Here is a 25,579-nt window from a genome sequence, read left to right on the forward strand (position 1 = left end):
AACAGGAGGCAATGCTAAATGCCAAAAACAACAAAGGAGCTTCAAGGAAACTGTGCTAAAACACTCCCCCTAGTTTTAACTACATACATATCCTTTTCTACTCACTCCACCCCATTCTCCTATGGTACTCCAAAACTATTGTGAAGCCACCAGGTTGCAGAAAGACACTAACAGCTACAGCTTAATGTTCAGAGGTTGATGAAGACCACATAGTGGGCCAATACAGATCACTCCTGAGAAACAAAAAAGCTGTTTTTACAACCAGAAGGAAATTAGATAATCCTAGCCCACATTACTTAATGGTTTTAAGACTGGAAATTCTGTGTGTGTGTGTGTGTGCACGTGCACGTGCGCAAGCTCATTTTGAGGGAGTAATAGTGCAAATAAAGTAAAAGCAGCTACCAGCCTCTCTAAAGATCATCTACAAGACCTCCCCCAGTACAGCCTGTTCTGAGGTACAGTGGCAAGTGCTGGTTCTGGAAGGTTTAAGTTGAGCACCGTAATTCTCTCCTATCTTCAGGAAACTTCCTTCAAAGAGCATTCCTGAGAATTGCCATAATACCATACTCAGTGATCACTCACCCATGTAGGAAGGATTCTCCAGAAAACCCACCCTACTGCCTTGCCCTCCCCTCCCCTGCCAATTTGCAATCCCTTTTGGAACCACCATAATACTCAGGCAGCAGAGCTTTAGTCATGTATCTGTACTTTTGTTTCTTGCTGTAAGGGACCTACCTTCATAAGAGGCAATGCAATGTCTTCTGTCACAAGAGTTATTCCAGGAATTTCCTATAGTGGGGAAAAACACACACACACAGCTGCTCAGTGTATGAACTACCACTAGCTCAAGCTTTCAGGGAGTGTTTTCTGCACAGACAGAAGCTGAGGGCAGCTTCCAGCTTCTAACCTCTACTTTAAATAAACCTTGGAGGGCATAAATAACAGTGAATATAGCCTATCTCTTGCCTCAGGAAAGGACACATTCTTTAAAGTCACAATTATAATAGGTGACAGGGTCTCTAAAGTAAAGGAAAAGACTATTACAAAGAAATAGAGAGCAAATAGGGTATTTTTATACATTTCTATTAAAGAACGAATGAGGCAAATTATGTTTGCACCAAATGTAACGATAAAGGGGAAATGTTTCATTATCAATACTCCTTCCTCTCTCTTCTTTCACTTAAATGTATTATAGTTGGCCCCTACCTCACTAGAAGGAATCAAGACTAACAGGATTCTTGCATGACTTGACTGGGTAATTTTTCTGTACCTCATTGTCCTCTGTAATTTCAGAGGTAGGAGCCCCCCATACCCAAAGGACTATAAATCATGCTGCTATAAAGACACATGCACACGTATGTTTATTGCGGCATTATTCACAATAGCAAAGACTTGGAACCAACCCAAATGTCCAACAATGATAGACTGGATTAAGAAAATGTGGCACATATACAACACCATGGAATACTATGCAGCCATAAAAAATGATGAGTTCATGTCCTTTGTAGGGACATGGATGAAATTGGAAATCATCATTCTCAGTAAACTATCGCAAGGACAAAAAACCAAACACTGCATGTTCTCACTCATAGATGGGAACTGAACAATGAGAACACACGGACACAGGAAGGGGAACATCACACTCTGGGGACTGTTGTGGGGTGGGGGGAGGGGGGAGGGATAGCATTAGGAGATATACCTAATGCTAAATGACGAGTTAATGGGTGCAGCACACCAGCATGGCACATGTATACATATGTAACTAACCTGCACATTGTGCACATGTACCCTAAAACTTAAAGTATAATAATTAAAAAAAAAAAAAAAGTTTCTGCAGCAGCCAGGTGCAGTGGCTCGCGCCTGTAATCCCAGAACTTTGGGAGGCCAAGGCTGGCAGATCACTTTAGATCAAGAGTTTGAGACCGACCTGGCCAACATGGTGAAACCCCGCTCTACTAAAAAAAAAAAAAAAAAAAAATTAGCCAGCCATGGTGGCAGGCGCCTGTATTTCCAGCTACTCAGGAGGCTGAGGCAGGACAATCACTTGAACCTGGGAGATGGAGGTTGCAGTGAGCTGAGACTGCACCATTGCACTCCAGACTGGACGACAGAGCAAGACTCCGTCTCCAAAGAAAAAAAAGAGTTTCTGCAGTGCTATCATCATGGCAAATCTGAAAGGTGAACAATTCATTTCAAGAAGGGCAAATGATAGCATTCTGCTAACTAGTGAGTGTTAAAACAGAAATTTAATAAAAGGATAAACTTTCAAGATTGCCTTTTATTCACTATTATTTTGAAAAGTGTATCTGTATGTTAATTATGTAATTAGCCTCTCATCTGGTCAAATCAGCTTTCATTTCCTTAAAAAAAAGTAGATAAGTATATAAGAAAATATTTTAGGAGATGTAATGTAGAAATAAAAATTGATATTTGTCTATAATTTAAATGACCGAGATTTTACTGATATAGAATATTCCTGTAAAAAAGGGTATCATGGGGACAGAGAAATAAGTTTTCAGAACATGCAAACAACTAAGTTCTTCAATGTGACAGTTGAAAGCCGTGATAAGAATCTATTGTGTGCTTCATTTATCACTACAGAGGATACCTCAAAAAAAATTAAAATTTCATTACAGTTTTGGTTATAAATAGCATTTTAAAAGAGGTATAGTTGTTTGCAAAACATAATTCAGGATTATCTATGTGTAAGGGCATCACATTTTCTATTATCTTAAAAAATCCAAGTCAGTTGTCTCCTACAAAAATGTGAAATCCATGTTTTCGCCTGTGGAAACTTTTTATTAAGGTTGTAGCATTAAGAACATTTGCAGATAAGAGAAAAATAAATGATTTGCATCACAGCTAATGATAAGCATAGACTGATAGATTTTCAAGATTAGAAGAGACCTTTAAGGTAACCTAGTCCAACCACAAGAAGTTTAAAGCAACATGGCAAACCCCAAGATTAGTTCAGTACAGGGAGGTTATAACCACAGGTTTCTTTATATCGCTCTTCTTGGACTTCCTGATGTCACCCTGTGCGTGTCCACAATAGCTGCTCCACCCTGCACAATCTTGAGAAGTGCAAAAGGGAAGCGTTACCCTCAGGGTGATATTCTCACACCACATCCAATTAACATGTGGCTCAGTCTTTTAACACAACCCTGGGAACCAGTGGTCCCAGCTGCCTCCTGGACACTTTGAACACAGGACATAACAGCAGGGGGTTGGTAAGGGAGGGAGCGGAGATGTGCATTTCCTGACTCTGGGGTGGTGTAACCTGCAGACTTCCTGCCATGTGACCACAGGGTCTGCATGTCTATTCACATGTGTTCCAAAAGAAAAACGTGGGTGCCTAGAGAGGGAACAAGTTCAGGCCTTTCTTTCCCTTAAATTCTAAGGTGGGGCATAAAAGTCTAATAACCACGACAGTAAAAGACAAAGAAAAGGCCTTTAGGAAAGCACTGCCACTGTGCATACCAAAAATTTAGAAATTAATCAAACACACTTGATACATCTTTTTTAAGGACTATATTTAGACAGGGTCTAAACATAAAGTGTCACCATTTACTCTAGTACATATTTTCCTATGACTGTGTTATTTAAATTCAATTTATTTTTCTAAGTACCTTTTTGATATAAACTTCTGCCTCAAAAGCAAGCATGTAGTTCTAATATCTAAATAAGAAACATGAGGCAGAACTTTTTCAGGCACAGCCTATGTACGGTTTTCACTTGCTGGGCCAGCAAAGCTCTGTCTACTGTACCATATTCAAGAGAAAATGAGCAGTGTTTTAGCTCAGCACATCCTAATTTAAAAGGAGGGAGTCAGAACCGACAGGGAGAAAAAGTCATTTGGGGTGAATGTGCCTAAGATTGCTGACTTTTACTGATCCTGAAGCTCTAGAGTTATTACAGACTTTTTAATGGGGCTGGAAAAAGGGGTCGTGAAGGTCCTTATCTACCAAGTATGATAGCAGCAATCCACCCATTCCTCACTTATAAAAACTCAGTACATATTTTAATCCACTCTAGTCACTTAGAAAATAAAAATACCATGATAGAGGTTTAGTTCTGCCTGGTAATAGGAAGAATAATAAATACCCTGTGTACCTGCTCCTTTGGTTTTACTGTTTTTATACAAATACTTTTGGCCAATAGCAGGGATTTGCTATTACTTTTCTGCCAAAAAAAATTCAACTGAGTTCTTTATCAGTCAAAACAGTAGTGAAATCACGACCTTGATGGCTATAAGAGAGGTGTCCAACAACTGACCCACAACTGTGAATTGATTTTATTTGCATACAGCATACACAGTGTTAACTTACTGTATTCCAAGTGAGCACTGAGGAATGTGGCAATAGTTTGTCCATGTTACTTGTCTCTGAATATACACTCCAGTATGAAGAAGCTGAGTAGATTTTTTTTGAAACAGGGGGAAAAAAGATGTGGTTTAATAAGATGATGACAGCATTGTAATGCAACCAAAACACGCAAACCAACAAAGTTTTCATTGTCTTATCCCTCATCCTCAAAACGGTAACCATCATGATTTTATCTACTGACTAAAATGTTCAGGTTCTGCTTTTTACAATGAGAAGAATAACTTAGTACCATATCTACCCAAATGACATTATATCATTTCATACGAAACCAGCCAACACAAAACTGGGCTAAGAAAGTTACATCTTACTGGAAAAAAAAATCACTAATAAGGTTATAGAATCAAGATCCTATCTTGTATCTCATCAATCTCTGTACAGCCATAGTTTCTTAGAAAACCACAAGAGAATGAAATTTAATTAGCTGCTGACTCCGATAGAGTTTTGTTTTTTTTTTTTAATGTGCTCCAAAGTAGCATTTGGACAGGTTGAGGCATTCACTATCAATTTACTGCTTTCCCTCAAGCAAAAAGGTCAAGTATTCAACTTAAGCTGCAACATCAGCAACACTTACCAATTATAAATTCCTGAATGAGGTCAAATGAATGGCAGGCAGAGACATTCTCAGAAATCCACTGAATAATCTTTAAAAAGTCAGACAGAACTCTGTTGGTATTTAAATCTGCTCTCTGCCTCCACTACCAAAGAAGTACAAATATACATGAATCTTTTGCATTCTATACCTATTTTAGAATTGCCTAAGAATATACTCACTTCTATACTATCTTCAAGATACATAATGCAATTCTGGGTAGGTAAAACGGTATTTTATAAGTGAGATCCTTTTTATACATCTTTTTAATAAATCTCCTTGGCTGGAAACCAAATAAACGTTCCTCAACCTAACGTTTGTGCAAGAATAGGTCATGTTATAGCAAAGCACCAGTGGAAAGAGCCGTGGGATACAGGAAAAAAAGAAAAACAAAACCACTAGGCTTGAGGGCAGCAGAGCTGGGTGTGAATTCCAGCTGGGTCCTGGGTGTGAATACGGACACACCAGTTAACCTTTGTGAGCATCACTGTACTGCCTCCTGAGGGAGGGATAATCCCTGCTATACCATCAACTCGCTCATCTCCATAATCATCCTCACCTGCTAGAGGAATGTTTTCCATCTCAGCACTGACAGATATTATAAGGCACGCCTAACCATGGTGCACACTTGCACTTCTGCTCCTACCAGTAAGCTGTTTAATTCAAAACCGATTTATGTTATTGTACTTATTTTCAAAATTAGGTAATACGATATTACTATCGACAAGTAAAATGTGGATGCAGAGAGTGTCATTGGGTCAGTAAAAGTTGAATGCTTTGTAAAGAGTCAAAGGCATGTCTCTAAAACACTAGAAAATTAGGTTTAGGGGAAACAACTAAAAAAGATTGGGTAAAAAATGCCTGGTATACACAGCTTGCTTTGTAAGGGTCTTTAAATTACTATATCCTTAGAAATAAAAATTTTTAAAAAGTAACAGGAAGTTAGAGGTAACTCATTACTAGTGCTTTTATGCATGAAAAATGATGTTGAACTTCAATTAGCAGATGCACAAAGAAAGGCTTGAGTCAAAACATGGGTGAATAATGTACATTGTTATGTTTCAGGTTAAAATAAAACGTCTAATGTCTTTTTTTTTTTTTTTGTAGTTAACCAGCCACTCTTTGATCTTAACCACATCTGATAAAGAGATTTTTCTGACTTCACAGGATAGCTGTAAAATAACACAGAATGCACGTGGAAGTACTTAATAAACTCTAATGTGAAATACAAATGTAAGCTATTTTTATTACAAATGTAATAAATATCTGCCACCAGATTTTAGTCCTTTTGATAATTATAGATCAAATACAGACCAGGAGAAAAAGTAGATATTTAAGAAACGCATTATTTACTGAGCTCTTCATTGAAATATTACTGACATAGCTAAACTTTTATTCCCAATATGGAAAAGGGGGTACCCAAAAGAACAGAAACACCCTGAGTGTGAGACCTGGTAGGGATCCATAAAAAAGCAGCGCAAAAGATGACGATGTCAGCAGCAAGGCCACACACCTCAATTAATTGTTACTAAATAAAAATAACTCCTGACCATTTTCAACCACAAAATAAATATGTTCAGTGTCGTCTATCTGCCCATTTTAAAACATGAGCTATCTTCTCACCTGGGCTTCCAGGAACTGCGCACCTTGACCGCAGTAGAGCGCGCAGTGCAACGCAGCCATCTTCTCACAGTCTAAGCAAGTGTTCTGCAGAAGCTGTAATAAAGACGACTGGCTGAGCAGTGCTCTATAGAGCTTTCCAGAACAACAATCCAATACCAGGGACCCTGACAATGACTGTAAAGGGCAATGAGGTAGCATATCAATCATTTCATTATTTCCTGGCAAAAAAAAAAAAAACAGTAGATCAGCAAATAGAAGAAACTCCTTTCACCCAAACATAGATATTAAAGTCAAAACAAACTCAAATGGGCCACCTCTACAAGAGAAAAACTATAGCCGTACCTGTCAGAAAGAGATTGTGGCAGATCAGGTCTGGATGTTGAACATTAAGTAGGTGGAAGAAATGACCAGGTAAGTAAACAGCCACATAATAGTCTATAGAAGAGAAAGATTTACATCATCTACATGTGGTAAAAGCTGCACAGGTACAGAATGTCACATTATCCCTGCTTGTCTCTGAATATCTCAAAAGGCAAAAGTTTTACCAATGTAATAAGCTATCTAATGACAGCCCGTTTTTTTTTTTTTTTTTTTAAGACAGGGTCTGACTCTGTCACCCAGGCTGGAGTAGCGGTGGTGTGATGTCGGCCCACTGCAGCCTCAAACTCCTGGGCTCAAGTGATCCTCCCCACCTCAGCCTCCCAAGTAGCTGGGACTACAGGACTGTGCCCACAACACCCCACTAATATTTTCTATTTTTATAGAGATGGAGTCTCACCATGTTGCCCAGGCTGGTCTTGAACTCCTGGGCTCAAGCAATCCTCCTGCCTCGGCCTCCCAAAGTGCTGGGATTACAGGCATGTTGCCCAGGCTGGTCTTGAACTCCTGGGCTTGAGCAATCCTCCTGCCTCAGCCTCCCCAAATGCTGGGATTACAAGCATGAGCCACCACACCCAGCCACATTTCTCTTACTAGGTAAACCTCATTTATTTCCATCTTTGGCTAATTTTCTTCAGATATTTAGCTATGGTTATCTTAATTTATACCTGCAGTTTTGTTTCTAAGTGATTTGTGGCTTTATGTGAATCTAAATGATCTCAGAGCAAATTAGAATAAAAATATCAAGCAACACGAATTATTCCTTAATTTGATAAGCTGGAAATAGCCTATATTGGGAATTTTCTTCATAATTTCTGCCAGTTTCGGGAAGCTCTAAAATTTTGTTGCCCATGTTTGTCCAGTGATCATCATTATCATCATCAGTAGCAGGAGCATTTTGTTTAGAGAACCTTTAAATCGATATTCATCAGAATAATCTCTGCAGACACATTGACACTTTGTGAAGTACTAATTTATTTCCTTGCATATCAAGCTGACTAGAATTCACACCTTCAGTCCCTGCACTAGATATTTTTGAATCAAGAACATTTGTACTCAGATGGAGACAAGGTATAAAAAATAGGTTTCTGGAGAATGGAAGGGTGGAAGTAGCCCTTGCCAATACTTTTTCTAGGATCTTAGAAAACAGAAATTCACACAGTAGTAATTTTATATAGATGAAACATTTAGATTATAAGTGAGCCAGCTAGACTCCTTTTCCTAAGAAGTGAAGGAACACATGCTAATCATTTGCATAGAAGGCGTTCTGTGGAAAGGGAAGAGGATATAGAACTCAAACCAGTTGACTTACAAGTGTCCTTTCAGTCAACGTGGATTAAATGATGCTAAAGTGCTTAGCACAAATGGTTGCAATCATCTTATTATAGCAACACTTTACTAGAAAACCACAAACAACAATACAGTGGGACATAATGGAAAGGGTATCGGCATCAAATGACCTAGTTACCTCCCAGCTGTACCACTTAACTAGTTAATTAGGATGGCACTATGTCCGTGGGGTGGTGGCATTTGAAAATATATGACAGTGATTTGGGTTGTTAACATCATTGAGGTAGTGAGAGGGAGATTCCTATTTGGCATTTGGTGAGTAGGCTCTAGGGATGGATGTTCAGTCCCTCAATGAACAGGGAATTTTTGTCTCACCAAAAGGGGCAGTAGTATCTGTGGTAGGCTGAATGATGGCTCCTGAAGATATGCACGTGCTAATCCCCAGAGCCTGTGAATAGGGTAAAAGAGATCTTGCAGATGTGACTAGGATCTTGAGATGGGGAGACTATCCTGGAATATCCAGGTAGACACAGGTAGGCACAAAAGTCCTTATGAGAGGGAGATTTGACTAGAGAAGAGAAGACGACCATACAATGAGGAAAGTAGTTGGAACGAAGTGGCCACAAGCCAAGAAATACTAGCCTCTAGTCAGGGGTGTCCAATCTTTTGGGTTCCCTGGGCCACACTGGGAAGAAGAAGAATTGCCTTGGGCCACACATAACATACACTAATAACAGCTGATAGCTAAAAAAATTAAAACCTCAAAAAAATAATGTTTTAAGAAGGTTTACAGATTTGTCTTGGGCCACATTCAAGCCATCCTGGGCTGTGGGTTGGACAAGCTTGCTCTAGAGGCTGGAGGGAGGACGCAAGGAACAAATTCTTCCCTGGAGCCTCCAGAAGGCACTAGTCCTGCCCACACTTTGGTTTAGCCCCTTCAAGACTCATTTCGAACTTCCAACTTTACAGAACTTTAAGAGAATATTTGTGGTGTTTGAAGTTCTAAGTTTGCCATAATTTGTTACAGCAACAATAAACTAATACAGGATATGCTAACTAGCCTGATTTGATCATTCCACAATGTATATAGGTATCAAAACACCACATTGTACTCCATAAACATATACAATTACTATTTGTCAGTTAAAAACAAAATAAGGTAGGGTATTATTTTTATTGGCTGGGCACGGTGGCTCACGCCTGTAATCCCAGCACTTTGGGAGGCTGAGGCAGGTGGATTACTTGAGGTCAGGAGTTCGAGACCAGCCTGGGCAGCATGACAAAACCCCATCTCTACAAAAAATATAAAAAATTAGCTGGGCATGGCGGCATGCGCCTGTAATCCCAGCTACTCAGGAGGCTGAGGTGGGAGGATAGTTTGAGCCCAGAGGCAGAGGTTGCAGTGAGCCAAGATCATACCACTGCACTCCAGCCTAGGCAACAGAGCAAGATCCTGTCTCAAACAAACAAACAAAAAAGTTTGCTGGGAAGATTTGATGAAATAACTCTGTATAAATTTGTTATATTTTATTTGCTGACTTTTCTAATAAAGATCTTATATGGAGAAGAAAAGGTACTACACATAAGCAGAGGCTATACCTACATTCATATGCCACATGTAAAATGGATACTTCTTATAATTTCAAGAAAATACTTTAGTCACTTATATTTAGTTAAAACTTTAATGTTTGAAAACATTTAGACTGAAGTTTTATATTTTTAAAAATATATCAAAAATGCTATAAGATAAAAATCAAATTCTATGAATAAATATTTTTAAATTAAGTACTCTAGGATTGTAACACTGACAACACTAATTATCTTTTCTAGTTTGGGCAGTTATGTTGCATACCGTTTGGGTGACTGATGGGATCATTTCACTTCATTTTCTCTCAGTTTATTCTGGATTGCATTACAGAAAAATACTAGAACAAAACCTCTAAACAAAACACTTGATAAAGTTTTAGTTGAAATAAAATGCTAAGAAAACAAAAATTACAAAATGTTTAAAGAAACTATTAATAGGCTAGGCACAGTGGCTCACGCCTGTAATCCCAGCACTTTGGAAGGCCGAGGCAGGTGGATCACGAGGTCAGGAGTTCAAGACCAGCCTGGCCAAGATGGTGAAACATCGCCTCTACTGAAACTACAAAATAATTAGCTAGGCATGGTGGCGTGCGCCTGTAATCCCAGCTACTTGGGAGGCTGAGGCAGAGGTGGAGGTTGCAGTGGGAACCTTGAACCCCGGAGGCGGAAGTTACAGTGAGCTGAAATTGCACCACTGCACTCCAGCCTGGGAGACAGAACAAGATTCCATCTCAAAAAAAAAAAGAAACTATTAATAATCTAGTGTCCCTTATAAAAGACACTGAGGTAAGCCTAAGCACAGAGCTCACTCTTTCTGAGCCTCAGTTTCATTATCTGTAAAATGGAGATAATATCACCAATCAGAATTGCTGTAGGGAGCAAGATAACAAGTAAAATACTTAACATACACTATTCATTAAATAAATAGTAGCTCATTATTTATAAACATATCTTTCTTACATAGAAGTGTCTGGGGTTCATGGAAATTTTCAAAAAATTATTCTTTAATATATTAATCAATATAAGCCCATTTTAATAGGGTGACAGTCCAGGGAAATTGCACGTAATAGCAAAAAATATATTACTCAAAACAATATTGTTGTCATAAAAATTACCTGTACAGCAGTTTTAAACTGGGCTATGATTTTGTGCCTATAAAATATGCTTAAGAAGGAAAGACAACATGTTTAAGATAGCCTATTTTTACAAAGCTTATATTTCTGGCCTCTCCACACGCTAAAGACCACAGATTAAATCTTGCCTGCCCTTTGCAAGTCATTCCCAGGGGTAAAAAAAGGAAGGATACCTTTGCCCTCACAAAGTGCTGTTTTCATAGTGGAAAGTTTCCCACATCACTCTTGAGATGGGATGCTGATAAAGCATTGCTGATAAGAATCAAGTCCCAGACCCAGGAAACCTTCTATAATATTTCTCTCTCTTATCACAGGAAGCAGTAGAACCAGGCTTCCCTAAGGCAATTTCCCACAAATTCAGAGATCATGTTAAAATTTGCCCATACTGGCCCACTCAGCGTAAGTATCCAACCTCATCAATGGTATCATTCAAAATAAAAATAACTTTGCTCAGTTTCCTCACATTGCACTCTCTCAAACATGCATCATGACAGTGGATGGACTGTGGAATAGGGATGGAAAAAGATATCAAAGAATTACATGCTCTAAACCTGAAACTCCTTTTTTAAAGGAAATGTTCCATATGCCATGTTCCATATGTAAGCAAGTAAATCATTACTTAGTCTTGTGCTAAACTTTGTGCCCCACATCCTAACTGGCATGGAAAAGCAGCTTTCAGTGGGGAGGTACAACAAACCCTTTCTTTATTTTCCTCATTATACTCAGGTTCCCTTCGCCATATTTACTCAATGAAAACAACTCAAGCTGATCCATAAATCATTAATGGGACTTGGAAACTTTTCAAGATTAGCAACAGGAAATAGACAATTTCCCAGAGGCCCCATCCTCTCTATAATCAAGGGATAACATGATGTATTATTTCTCATGGGCTATTTGGGAACATCTCATACAAGTTATCATTTTTATGTTAACAAATAGCTTTTTAGGCTGCTACCAAAAAACATAAGAAAGCTCACAGCCTAGGTTCTCTAAAAAGGGAAGATACAACCCCCAACCCTTTTCAAGCCAAAGGCTAAGGAGTTGAGAGGCAAGGGTGTGTTCCAGAGAAAATCTTCTCTCATCAGATTTCAAGTGGGTCATTGATTGTCATCACAATCCGAGTCTCAAAGAGGCATGAGAAATGGGATAGTATAGAAGGCTGAGGTATACCATGCCTAGGAACAAGTGTTCAGAGCAGGGGGTGTGATCTCTCCATCACTCACCAAGGTTGAGAAAAGTAATGCCCTTTGTCATGTGTGACCCAACATTCTCAAGAGAAGTGGTGAAGGTCTTGCTGTGTCCTGCAAAGAGAGAATATGAAGCCAGAGAATGTTAAACAAAGAACTGGAACTCCACCCAAGGCAGTGACTATGTAACACACTATATTTTCAGTGACCATGAAACTGGTAAGCAGGCATCTTCAGACTTCTAGATTTCATGGTTCCCCTCATTCTCCAAAAACCAGCATTGAAGGCAGATTATCTGAGTGCAGTCACACTCCAGTAGTTGCTCTGGGCTTATTATAATCTTAGACCATGACAGGTGGATTGTTCAGGGAGGAGAGGATCTGAAGGAATTTACTTAAAGATCCAAGAGATAGAGATGACCACATGGCTCATTGGCCCACATTCCTCAAGGCTCACCGCCACACACGTGCAGTCATTAAGACCCTCTGAGACTTCTCCAAATCACTTACAAATCCCACTTTTAGGTAGGAAGGGAATTAGTCGAGCTAATAACCTCAGTATATTGGCCTTTCCTCTCTACTTTCTAACTCTTAATCTTCAGAAAAGTTTTATTTACTGCCTTTGATCAATAGATTAACCATTAGAAAAATGTGTGAAAAATTTTCCACAAAAATCTCAAACTTATACAACTTAAGTATGAATAGAATATATGTCTAGTTCTGAAGTTACTTTAGCTTCTCCATTAAGTTCTTAAACTTTTTTACCTTAATCTCTAACCTGAGGAGGTAATATCAGGTCCATCTATAGAATAAGCAGCTCTGGTGTGGCTTGGCATAATTGTTTTTAAATATTGGAAAAATCTTTATCTTTAAAAAAATTTAAATACACCCATAGTATATACTGCACAAATACTCATTTTAAGGAATTAAACAAGCAAAACAATAACTCCTTAGCATGGTTCAAACTAAAACTACTACAGGGCACACTGTGATTGACTACAGAACCAGGAGAAATTAGTTAGGCATTTGACTGCTTCTCCCTAGATTGTTTATCAATATCTTGGGCCATAGATGTGTGAAATGGAATAAATGTATCTTAGATCTAAAACCTGTTGAGGTCTGAGATCATGGATGCTTTTAACTGAAACCCTATTTAACTCTGTAAGTTAAATCTATAGATACTTTCCAAATAGCGATAACTAAAAAGCAAATAAACACACTTTGGATAAATACCTTCCTTAGGATTGGTCCACAAGCCTAGAAAAATATATAGGCCAGGATAAAAATATATGATATATAAAAATAACTAGCTAACTTGATACTCACCATTGACAACTTTCTTCAGGAAATATATATCCTGTAAGTATACAGATATAGAATGAACTGATAAAAATTGATTCCATGGTAATAATACTCTCAGCCGGGCATGGTGGCTCATGCCTATAATCCCCACACTTTGGTAAGCTGAGGCGGGTGGATCACTTGAGCTCAGAAGTTCAAGACCACCCTGGGCAACATGGTGAAACCCCATCTCCACAAAAAATACAAAAATTAGCTAGGCATGATGGCACACGCCTGTAGTCCCAGCTACTTGGTGGGCTGAGGAGGGAGGATCACTTGAGACCATAAGGTTGAGGCTTCAGTGAGCAGTATTCATGCCACCGCATTCCAGCCTGGGTGACAAAGGGAGACCCTGTCTCCAAAAAATTACTAATAACACTGTTAAGAGCTATCTAATTTGCTACTATTTGGAAAAAGTTATTATGTAAAAGTAACAAAGAAGACATGAAAAGTACCTTTATGAATGTAAAACACTGAATATGTGATTTGTCCCCAAGAGGCACACTTCGGGCTGTAACATACACACAAACTTCCTAGAAGAAAAAGGATATTTAGTAGAGTTTAACAGAATCTATGTCATAAATAAAGTTTCCTAAACCACTTAAACTTACTTCTATTCCTTTAGATGTCCTGTCTCATCTTACCTCATAGATTATTCCCAAGTCCTAGAAGTGGTCTATTAACAAGTTGCTAAGAAATTTCAAAGCAGTAATTTTTTAGTGCACACTATATAGCAACATATTGTGGCAGGCTATTGAAGGATAGGAAAATGAACACAGATATACTCCTGCATATGAAATAATGGGGTTCTAGACAGTTTCCAAAGCTTCATGAGATTCTCCTAGTAAGCATGCATTGTCCTCCCTTATCTAGCTTGTCACCTTGCAATTATTACTAACAGCTGTGAACACCAGTTTATCAAAAATGTGTTCATTTCACAGAAAGTTACCAGTCTCTAGTTTATCTTGATTGAAAGGCAAAGTGTGATCTATCTTATGGGTCAGTGAAAACAAATGTGGCATGTGAGTCCATATCCATCCGTAACTGAGTCACTGAAGGCATTGGCCCAAGGCCAAAGGAGAGCTCTTGGCATAGAGTGGCCTTTCCAGGTGAGTCTTGACCCCCTTCACTTACCCCATCACTCCAGAACACCCTCAACTTTCCCCACCTCTCTCAACGCATGAAACTGTACATTATCTCTAGCAGCTGCTGCTGTATGGACTAATGTCCATCAGTGACCTACATACAATTGAGGACAGTATGCTTAAACAGGTATGTCTATCATTTATGTGATTAACTGAAATAGGAGATTGACAGGTAGAAAGTAACTTGACAAGGAGTCAGGAAACCTGAGTTCTAGCCCCAGAGCTAACGTTAACTAGCTGTGTGAATTCAATCGCTACTCTACTTCAGTGGATTTCAATGTTTCCTCTACTTTCCTTCATTAGTTTCTTTATCAAAGAATCGTGGTAGAAAAAAAGTCAGTTTCCCCTAAGAGGGCTATTCAAGGACATTTATAAGTATTCTGTTATAATATTTATCAATTATGACTTTTTAATGACATTTAACACTGCAAAGTATTGTCAGCAGTACATTTTATTGCAATTATCTTAAACACAAAATAGCAAAAAAGAATAACTTCATCAGATAACATGGTAACAATTCTATTAGATGTAAAATGACTGTTACGGTTACTGAGCACACAATAACAACTTTTCTTTACAATTACAGCTGACTCATGACTCACTGAGAATAAAAGTAATCTATCACTAAAGTATAAACAAAATAATAATTATAAGAGTTACAAAAGTCTCATATACCACTTGGACTGCTTTCATACAGTAAACATTATCAGCAAAAAACTACTTGTTTATCCATTCTTTTATATACTATAATCACAAGGAACATGAAATTGCTTAAAAAAAAGACTTTAGATTCTCTAGTAATAAATAAAAATTAAAACAAGGTACCATAATTTTCCTTTAGAAGTAGTTTTTTAAATGATAATGAAATACTGTCAAGGGAGCATGTGCTTCTTACACAATTCTCAAATAGTAGTGAATGAGTCAACTAACACAATATCTCAGAAAAATTCTTTCACAGAGGGTTAAATATATTCATACCTGTTCACCCAGTAATTCTTTTAGGATTCTATCCTGGGAAATGAACATGATGGCAACATAGATCATAACCTCCATTCTAGCAAACTATCTGCACTCCATCCTTTAGAGAATGAAAGTTTTTCTCATTTTGAAAAAAAGTAAGATGTACATTCTCAGTAAACTATCACAAGAACAAAAAACCAAACACCGCATATTCTCACTCATAGGTGGAAACTGAACAATGAGAACACATGGACACAGGAAGGGGAACATCACACTCTGGGGACTGTAGTGGGGTGGGGGGAGGGGGGAGGGATAGCATTAGGAGATATACCTAATGCTAAATGACAAGTTAATGGGTGCAGCACACCAGCATGGCACATTTATACACATGTAACTAACCTGCACATTGTGCACATGTACCCTAAAACTTAAAGTGTAATAATAAAATAAAATGAGATGTAGAATAAATGTACCTAATTACATATTCTAAGAACCATATCCAGAACTTATAAGCAAATATTTCCAAATTGTTAGGTCATGCTTAGTTGCCCCACCCAATCCCAAAGGGAAAAAAAGACACAGCAAGTTGAAATGGTATGTACACAGGCTCTGTGAAGCTATCCAACAGAACTGTCTTTGACAATGGAAATGTTATATACCTGTATAGTCCAATATGGTGGCAACTAGCCACATGTAGTCACTGAACACTCAAAATGTGGATAATATGACTGAAGCACTATTTATCTGAGACAAAGTCTCACTCTGTTGCCCAGGCTGGAGTGCAGTGGTGCAAACATGGCTCACTGTAGCCTTAACCTCCCAGGCTCAAACAATCCTCCCACTTCAGCCTTCCAAATAGCTAGGACTACATGTGTGCCTGGCTAATTATTTTATTTTTTTTAAGAGATGGAGTCTATGTTACCCAGGGTGGTCTTGAACTCCCTGGGCTCATGTGATCTTCCTACTTTGGCCTCCCAAAGAGCTGGGACTACAGGAATTTTTTTTAACTTCTATTTTCAGTTCAGGGGTACATGTGAAGGTTTGTTATATAGGTAAACTCATATCACAGGGGTTTATTTTTACAGATAATTTCATCACCCAGCTATTAAGCCTGGTACTCAATAGTTACTTTTTCTGCTCCGCTCCCTCCTCCCACCCTCCACTCTCAAGAAGACCCCAGTGTCTGTTGTTCCCTTGTGTTCAGGAGTTCTCATCATTTAGCTCCTACCTGTAAGTGAGAACACTAGGTATTTCGTTTTACTGTTCCTGCGTTAGTTTGCTAAGGATAATAGCCTCTATCTCCATCCATGTTCCCACAAAAGACATGATCTCATTCTTTTTTATAGCTGCACAGTATTCCACGGTATGTATGTACCACATTTTCTTTATCCAATCTGTCACTGATGGGCATTTAGGTTGATTCCATGTCTTTGCTAACATGAATCACGCTGCAATTGACATTTGCATACGTATATCTTTATGGTAGAATGATTTTTATTCCTCTAAGTATATACCCAGTAATCAGATTGCTGGGTCCAATAGTAGTTCTGCTGTTAGCCTTTGAGTAATCACCATACTGCTTTCCACAATGGTAGAACTAACTTACACTCTCATCAACAGTGTATAAGTCTTCCCTTTTCTCTGCAACCTTGCCAGCAACTGTGGGTTTTTTTTTTTTTTTTTTTTTTTTACTTTTAATAATAGCCATTCTGACTGGTATGAGATGGTATCTCATTGTAACCTCTATCTGCATTTCTCTAATCCTCAGTGATACTGAGTTTTTCACATGCTTGCTGGCCACATGTCTTCTTTTGTAAAGTATCTGTTCATGTCCTTTGCCCACTTTTTAATGGAGTTGTTTTTGTCTTATAAATTTAAGTACCTTGTAGATGCTGGATACTAGGCCTTTGTCAGATGCATAGTTTGCAAATATTTTCTCCCAATTCTGTAGGTCGTTTGGTTTACTCTGTTAGTTTCTTTTGCTGTGCAGAAGCTCTTAAGTTTAATTCGATCCCATTTGTCAATTTTTGCTTCTTTTGTGATTACTTTTGATGTCTTTGTTATGAAATATTTGCCCATTCCTATGACTAGGATGGTATTGCCTACGTTTTCTTTCAGAATTTTTATAAATTTTGGGTTTTACATTTAAGTCTTTAATGCATCTTGAGTTGATTTTTGTCTATGTTGTAAGGAAGGGTTCCAGTTTCAATTTCTATATATGGCTAGCCAGTTATCCCAACACCATTTATTGAGTAGGGAGTCTTTTCCCCATTGCTTTTGTCAGCTTTGCTGAAGATCAGGTAGTCATAGGTGTGCAGCCTTATTTCTGGGTTCGCTATTCCATTCTATTGGTCTATGTGCCTGTTTTGGTAACAGTACCATACTGTTTTGGTTACTGTAGCCCTGTAGTATAGTTTGAAGTTGGGTAACATGATATCTCCAGCTTTGTTCTTTTTGCTTAGGTGTACCTTGGCTACTCAGGCTTTTTTGGTTCCATATGAATTTTAAGACAGTTTTTTCTAGTTCTGTGAAGAATATTGATAGTTTGATAGGAATAGCATTGAATCTGTACACTGCTTTGGGCAGTATGGTCATTTTAATGATATTGATTCTTCCTATCCATGAGCATGTTTTTCCATTTCTTTGTAACTTCTGATTTCTTTGAGCAGTGTTTTGTAATTCTCATTGTAGACATCTTTAACTTCCCCTCCCTGGTTAGCTGTATTCCTAGGTATTTTATTCTTTCTGTGGCAATTGTGAATGGGATTGCCTTTCTGATTTGGCTCTTGACTTTGCTCTTGTTGGTGTAAAGAAATGCTAGAGATTTCTGTACATTGATTTTGTATCCTGAAAGTTTGCTGAAGTTGTTTATCAGTTGAAGGAGCTTTTGGGCTGAGACTATGGGGTTTTCTACAGAATCATGCCGTATGCAAACAGGGATAGCCTGACTTCCTCTCTTCCTATTTGGGATGCTCTCTTGCCTGATTGCTCTAGCTATGACTTCCAATACCATGTTGGATAGGAGTGGTGAGAGAGGACATCCTTGTCCTGTGCCAGTTTTCAAGGGAAATGCTACCAGCTTTTGCCCATTCAGTATGATGTTGGCTATGGGTTTGTCATAGATGGCTATTATTTTGAGGTTTTCCTTCAATACCTAGTTTATTCAGAGTTTTTAACATGAAGGGGTATTGAGTTTTATCGAAAGCCTTTTCTGCATCTATTGAGATAAATGTGGTTTTTGTCTTTAATTCTGTTTATGTGATGAATCACATTTATTGAATTGCATATGTTGAGCCAACCTTGCCTCCCAGGGATGAAACCTACTTGACTGTGGTAGATTAGCTTTTTGACATGTTATTGGATTTGGTTTCCATGTATTTTGATGATTTTTGCATCAGCGTTCATCAAGGATATTGGCCTGAAGTTTTCTTTTGTTCTTATGTCTCTGACAGGTTTTCAGTATCAGGATGATGCTGGCCTCATAGAATGAACTGGGGAAGAGTCCATCCTCCTCAATTTTTTGAAAGGGTTTCAGTAGGAATGGTACCAGCTTTTCTTTGTACGTCTGGTAGAATTCAGTTGTGAATCCATCAGATCCTGAGCTTTTTTCGGTTGGTAGGTTATATATTACTGATTCAATTTGGGAGCTTATTATTGGTCTGTTCAGGGAATCAATTTCTTCCTGGTTCAGCCTTGGGAGGCTGTTTGTGTCCAGGAATTTATCTGTCTCTTCTAGGTTTTCTAGTTTGTGTACTTAGAGGTGTTCTCAGTAGTTTCTGATGATTATTTTTATTTCTGTGAGGTCAGTGGTAACATCCCATTTGTCATTTCTAATTGTGTTTATTTGGATCTTCTCTCGTCTTCTTAGTCTAGCATGGGTTCCTGGAGTTGTACATTTACTCACCACTTCCCTGGGTGGTGGAAGTTCCCCTGGCTCTGTGTCACTCCTAGGTGGGCTGTCATCCTGCCTTGCTTTTTGCCATTCTCCATGGGTTAAGTTGTTTCCTGGATTAGTCCCAATGTGAACATCTGGATGATTCAGTTGAAGGCGCTGCATTTACTCGCCCCTTCCCTGTGAGAGTGGCACTTACGCTTCCCTGTGAGAGTGGCTCACATTAGCTGCTTCTAATCAGCCCTGGATTTTTTTCTTTCATTTTAATTAATGTAAATTCAAATAGCCACATGTGGCTATTGGCTACCATACTGGACAACACAGCTCTAGAGCACTGGTTCTTAACCCTGACAGCACATTAAACTTACTTGGGATCACAGATGCCCAGGTTCCACATCAGAAGAATTAAGTCAGAATCTCTGGGGGGTGAGACTCAGGCATTTGTATTTTTTAAAGCTCACTAAATGATTCTAACGTGAACCCAGATTGAGAACCACTTTTGAAATCAGCAGATTTGGATGTGAGTCCTGCTTTTGGCTTACTAAGTCTATTGCCTCAGGCAAGTTAATTAAATTATCTAAGCCTCAGTTTCCTCATCTGTAAATAAAGAAAATATAGAACTTATTTCATAGGGTTCTTGTGAGATAATTAAATAAGATACTGTGTATAAAGAGATTATTATTGTTAGATTGTTAGTTGCAAAGAAGTTATATCTGGCTATAAAGGTTAGCTGGTGTTATTCCATAACAGTCTTGCTGCTATTTACAAGCTGGGGAAGCATGCTCTTAAGGGTGTATCCAGAGATGTTTAATGAAATTCATCAATGATGAAGATAATATCTCAACGTTGGCTAGCCTTGGGGAAACCATTTGGACAATGAAAACTACTGTGGACAAAGTTTTCCAAGGGAAATTATGTTATTGGAGCAATTATTAAAAGGCTCTATAAAGTGCTAAAACATAGGCCTAATCGGGAACTTGTGAAGAGCAACTCGTGCAGTTATATGAATAGGAAGGAGAATTTACACACTTCCCTACTCACTACCCTCCCAGTAGGTGGTGCACAAGAAAGAATTACAGCCACTGACTTAGAACACACAAGAGCACTACAGCTTCAGAGTTGACTATTAGGTAGGGAAATAGTAAGATATGCTTTCAATGCTTAGAAAGTCTGATTTATCCTTTTTATTAGAAAAATATATATAAACTCATGTTAAATAATACACAAGTGGCCTGACAGCAGCAGTGGCAGCAGCACTTTTGCCCACCACCAATCTCATGAGCACGCCCATCCCTAGATTGTAACCTCTAGTTCCTTGGAAGACAGCCGTCTTTATTTCTTAGTGCTGGGAAATTCAGGACAAATGTTTTCAAGAATATAAAAAGTAATGGTGAAAGGACAAAATAGCTTCTGATGACCAAAATGTGATAGCAAAATGTCAAATATTATTATATCATCATCATTAATGTAAATAGTTGAAGTAAGTTTGTATAAGGGCCTAAGTCCATCAGCATTCCTTTCATGAACCACAGTTTCTGGCCTCCATGCCAGTGAAGAATTCAGCTTTCTGCTATAGAGGGAGTCACATTTAGATTATACTCTTTGCTTCCTTCTCCTATCCTATTTTGCTGGAATAGATTTTGTTTAACAACAAAGGTAAAAAAACACTTTTGAAGAGTAATATAGGAAACACATGAACAATTTCTTAGTCAAAAAACAAAAGGTTGCTTCTCTGGCTTGTTTCATCTTAAATCTGGAAGCATCTCATTTGAAACACGTTTTTTTATTTTTTCAAAGCTGATTGTGAAGAGTGAAGCTTATTTTCTACCCTTCCACACACTGCCGAGAAGGGGAAAAACAGATTCTTCCACAATTTATGTCAGATAAACCTAACATTTTATTAAATATGTCATAACTAGCCCCATTTATAACTTACAGCTAGTAATGGTCACGAGAAATTCCTGTGGAAATAGAAAAAGGAATAAAAAGCCACACTGGATTAAAGCCAAAATGATTGTTCATATCCAATAGATTTAAAGCAAAGTACCAGGGGCCAGGCGCGGTGGCTCATGCCTGTAATCCCAGCACTTTGGGAAGCCAAGATGTGTGGATCATCTGAGGTCAGGAGTTCGAGACCAGCGTGGCCAACATGGCGAAACCCCGTCTCCACTAAAAATACAAAAAAAATTAGCCAGGCATGGTGATGTGTGCCTGTAATCCCAGCTACTCGGAAGGCTGAGGCAAGAGAATCTCTTGAACCCGGGAGGAGGAGGTTGCAGTGAGCTGAGAGAGTTCCATTGCACTCCAACCTAGGCAACAGAGCAGAGCAGGACTCCATCTCATTCATAAATAAATAAATAAAGCAAAGCACCAGGGAAGAACCCACCCTGCTCCCTCCATGTGAGCTCCGGATCCCATCCCACCTTCTAAGCAAATTCACTATACCAGTTATCCTCTCTGCTATGTATTTTCCTGTTTCCTCTCCACTCAATATATGCTGTGAGCATTCAAACATCCTAGAGTCTGTACTGTCTTAAAATATTCCCTAAATCCTATTTCCCTTTCCAGCTGCTGCCTCTGTCATGTCTACACATGCTGCTATGACTTTTCTCAATTCCCATATGCCACTTAACCCAGCATAGTCAAGATTTCACCTCAATTCCACAACACAAACAGCTCATAGTAATCTTCATGCTACTAGACACAGTGGACTCCACCTCTCACTACCTAATTCAGTCATTTCTTTGTGAAACTACCCTGTGCCTTCAGCTACTACAATACCATACTTGTTTTGGTTTTCCCTTTCTCTCTCTCCAGACATTCTTTTTTCCTTTTCGTTTGGATGTTCCACCTAACCTTTATATATTTATGTCCCCAGATCTTATTCATAAGTGTCCTCCCTCCTGACCAAATACCCCCTCCTATGCCTTCAAATGCCAGCTATAGTCTAAAAACTTCCAGATTTATTCATTGCCAGTCTTGACCCCTCTTCTAAGCTCCAGATCTTTTAGTCAACATGTCTAAAACAAAACTCACAATCTTCCTAAGCTCCACCAAAACCCCTATAACCTCAGTAAACGACACTACTGTTCACTCATTTGCTGATGCCAGAAACCTGAGAACCATTCCTCTAATTTATAGCAAATTATCTTAATTTCATCTCCAAAATGCATCCCAAACCCATCTAGTTCCTTCCACCTGTACTGCCCATCCTAGTTCACCCTTATTTCAAACACAGGACTAGACTTAACTGCTCATCTTCCCACTTTTTCTCTTGCCTTCTCCAATCCGTCCTCCATCTTTTTTCTTTTTTTTTTTTTTTTTTTTTAAGACAGAGTCTTGCTCTGTTGTCCATGCTGGAGTGCAGTGGTGTGACCTCAGCTCACTGCAACCTCCGCCTCTTGGGTTCAAGCGATTTTCCTGCCTCAGCCTCCTGAGTAGCTGGGACTACAGGCACGTGCCACCACACCCAGCTAATTTTTTTGTATTTTTACTAGAGACGGGGTTTCGCCATGTTGGCCAGGCTGCTCTCAAACTCCTGACTTCAGGTGATCTGCCCGCCTCGGCCTCCCGAAGTTCTGGGATTACAGGCGTGAGCCACCGTACCCGGCCCAATCCATCCTCCATACAGCAGCCACAGTGATCTTTTGAAAATATGTATCTAATCATGTTACTGCCTGCACAGACGCTTCAGTGAAGGAGTATCAGTGAATCCTAAAACTGACAGGTGAAAAGCTGAGAATAGAATAGTCACATGGTGACAAAGTACCATCCTATAAATTACTAATTCAGAGGTTAAAATGTGCCCTCATAAGGGAGACATACAGTAGTTACCACTTAACCAAATGACCAGACTTAGCATCACTAACAGTAGGATATTCTGACATTATAGGCCTCCTGATCTGATACAAATGAAGTTCACAACATCACCTGTGAAGTACTCTCACTAAAAATGCTTAACTTATGTCTAACTGTGCCTTTACTCAGTTGTGTGTAGCTTCCAATTTACAAATAATGTATAAAGGAAAAAGTTAAATGCCTATGTAAGTAAACAATTGGATAAATCCAGAACGTGGATCATTCTACAAGACAAATGGCCTGGACTTTTCAATATGTCAATGAAAAGAAAAGAAAGGCAGGGAGTAGGACATGAGAATTGTTGCACATGTTAATGCAAGACTATGAAGATTTAAACGGCCAAATGTAATGTATGAATCTTGATGGAATCCTGACTTTAAAAGTTATATACATACATATTTATTTATATATACACACATGACGTTTTTCAAGAAATTATGAAAATTTGAATAGAAAATAAAGTTTATTGATTAATGTGATTAATTTATTTCAGTAATAAGGGAACAGATTATGTAGAAGAGTGTCCTTAATCAAAGGAGGTGTGTACTGAATTATCTACTGGTTAGGTGTTATGATGTCTGCAACCTATTTTTGAATGGACTTGGTCAAAAAATAAAATGATACATATATATATAGTGAGAATGATAAAGCAAATACTGTAAATGATATGATTGTATAAGTAAAAGGTAAACGGATGTTCATTACATTTTTGAACTTTACAGCGAGCTTGCGCATTCTCAAAATAAATTGTATAGTAACAAAAAATACCCTTCAATGACTTCTCATCACTCTTAGGATAAAGTCTAAAATCCTCCCATGATCCACAAGGTCCCACATAGCCTGGCCCCTGCCTGCCTCTCCAGCTTTCTCTCTCTCACTCACTCTACTTCAGTGACATGGTCTTAGTTCATACATATCCTTCAAGTCTCTACTGAAATACCACGTCCTTGAGCTCCCTAGGACTGGTGTATGAAGGGATGAGTACAGCTGAGGGATACCTGGGATGGACAGGAAAAAGAGGAATGGATTATGCAGGAGTGAAGTGGGAAAGGGGGCCATTTTCAGGACTAAGAATGGAATGGGATGGAATATCTTGGAGGGAGGCAGAAATGAGGATGGACTGGCTGAACTAGAACATGGTTGAAGACACTAATATCTTCTATTAAACCTCCATAAGTTTTCATGAATTCCTATAATGCTCATTCATAATATGATTCTATTTAAATACTAAGTGTGCACTTATGTAATGTCTAAAATCTGTGCCAAATAGTAACCTTTACGCTAATAAAGATTAGGGCAGTTTTACTTATCATATCCCCAACACCTAGCAAACAGTAAGTCCTCAGTAAATGTTGGCCTAATGGGTGAATATCCCACAATAATTTGGCTTTAAAGGAATACAATTTTAGTCCAAATGCTACTTAACTCAAGTAGTAAATGTCCATTAAAGTTGGGATATTAAAAATGGCTATTACATGCAGTTATCAGAGCTGATTATTTAGATGATTATTAAGGTTAATGAGCAGTTTTTCACCAGATTTATTGAATGTAATCATATTCAACTTCTCTCATCTTTAGGTATTTTTCTTTACCCTCTGCATTTTTTCTATCTATGAAAACTGGTATTAAGGAACAAAATATTTCACATTAATAACTTTATGTCAAGCTCTGATTGTTACATTGGTAGGCTGCAGCATGGCTCTTAAAGCCAGGTACGTAAGTTTAGAACCAAACACATCAGTAAGCCTGACACAGAAAGCACAGCCATCGCTGTTAGTCATTTGTTAAAAGATGAAGCAGGTGAGAAAATGTAGATTGGTTAAATACAATCCATTTTCTCTGTTAGAACCATACAAATAATAACTACTAGAAGAATAACTCTGCTGTTAAGAATAACTGTGGCTTCCTCAATACAGACAGTGTATATTTAAAATTAATGAAGATTTGATACATGACAATCCATATGATCACCGACATAAAAATGTAGCTCTGTTCTATTTTCAGACTCCATATAGCTAAACAATGAGTAAATTTTGTCTAGAACTCAAATACGGTTGAATAAATTGATAAATACAACCCTAGTTTACCTGTATGGTTGGTAAAAACACACAGAGTCAGGTGTTTGGAAAATTTATCTCGGTATTGATGATAATCACATCCAAAGTTGACAAGTCTAAGAACATAAAGAATGAGAAATTATTGAATGCATTTA

The 25,579-nt window shown here is 38.4% G+C and overlaps 1 protein-coding gene across 29 annotated transcripts in view; it reads right to left on the bottom strand.

Moving 5' to 3' along the window:
* Window positions 1-25,579, bottom strand: part of GSAP (gamma-secretase activating protein) — a 105,880-nt gene that overhangs the window by 37,865 nt on the left and 42,436 nt on the right. For 13 of the 29 annotated variants that reach the window (XR_007060056.1, XR_927479.4, XM_047420491.1 and 10 more), the window contains 8 exons: window positions 25,455-25,540; window positions 13,968-14,045; window positions 12,209-12,286; window positions 6,940-7,032; window positions 6,598-6,815; window positions 4,957-5,080; window positions 4,329-4,411; window positions 736-789 (listed from right to left, as the gene is read on the bottom strand). Coding sequence is in view for 24 of the 29 variants with exons in the window: in XM_047420491.1 (XP_047276447.1) it covers window positions 736-789; window positions 4,329-4,411; window positions 4,957-5,080; window positions 6,598-6,815; window positions 6,940-7,032; window positions 12,209-12,286; window positions 13,968-14,045; window positions 25,455-25,540 (814 nt within the window). In the remaining 5 variants the exon portion in view is untranslated. The remainder of the gene's footprint in view (window positions 1-735; window positions 790-4,328; window positions 4,412-4,956; window positions 5,081-6,597; window positions 6,816-6,939; window positions 7,033-12,208; window positions 12,287-13,967; window positions 14,046-25,454; window positions 25,541-25,579) is intronic. The other 16 variants (NR_146938.2, NR_146937.2, XM_047420494.1 and 13 more) reach the window with 5 other exon arrangements.

Source organism: Homo sapiens, chromosome 7, assembly GCF_000001405.40.
Source record: "Homo sapiens chromosome 7, GRCh38.p14 Primary Assembly".
Taxonomy (NCBI): Eukaryota; Metazoa; Chordata; class Mammalia; order Primates; family Hominidae; genus Homo; species Homo sapiens.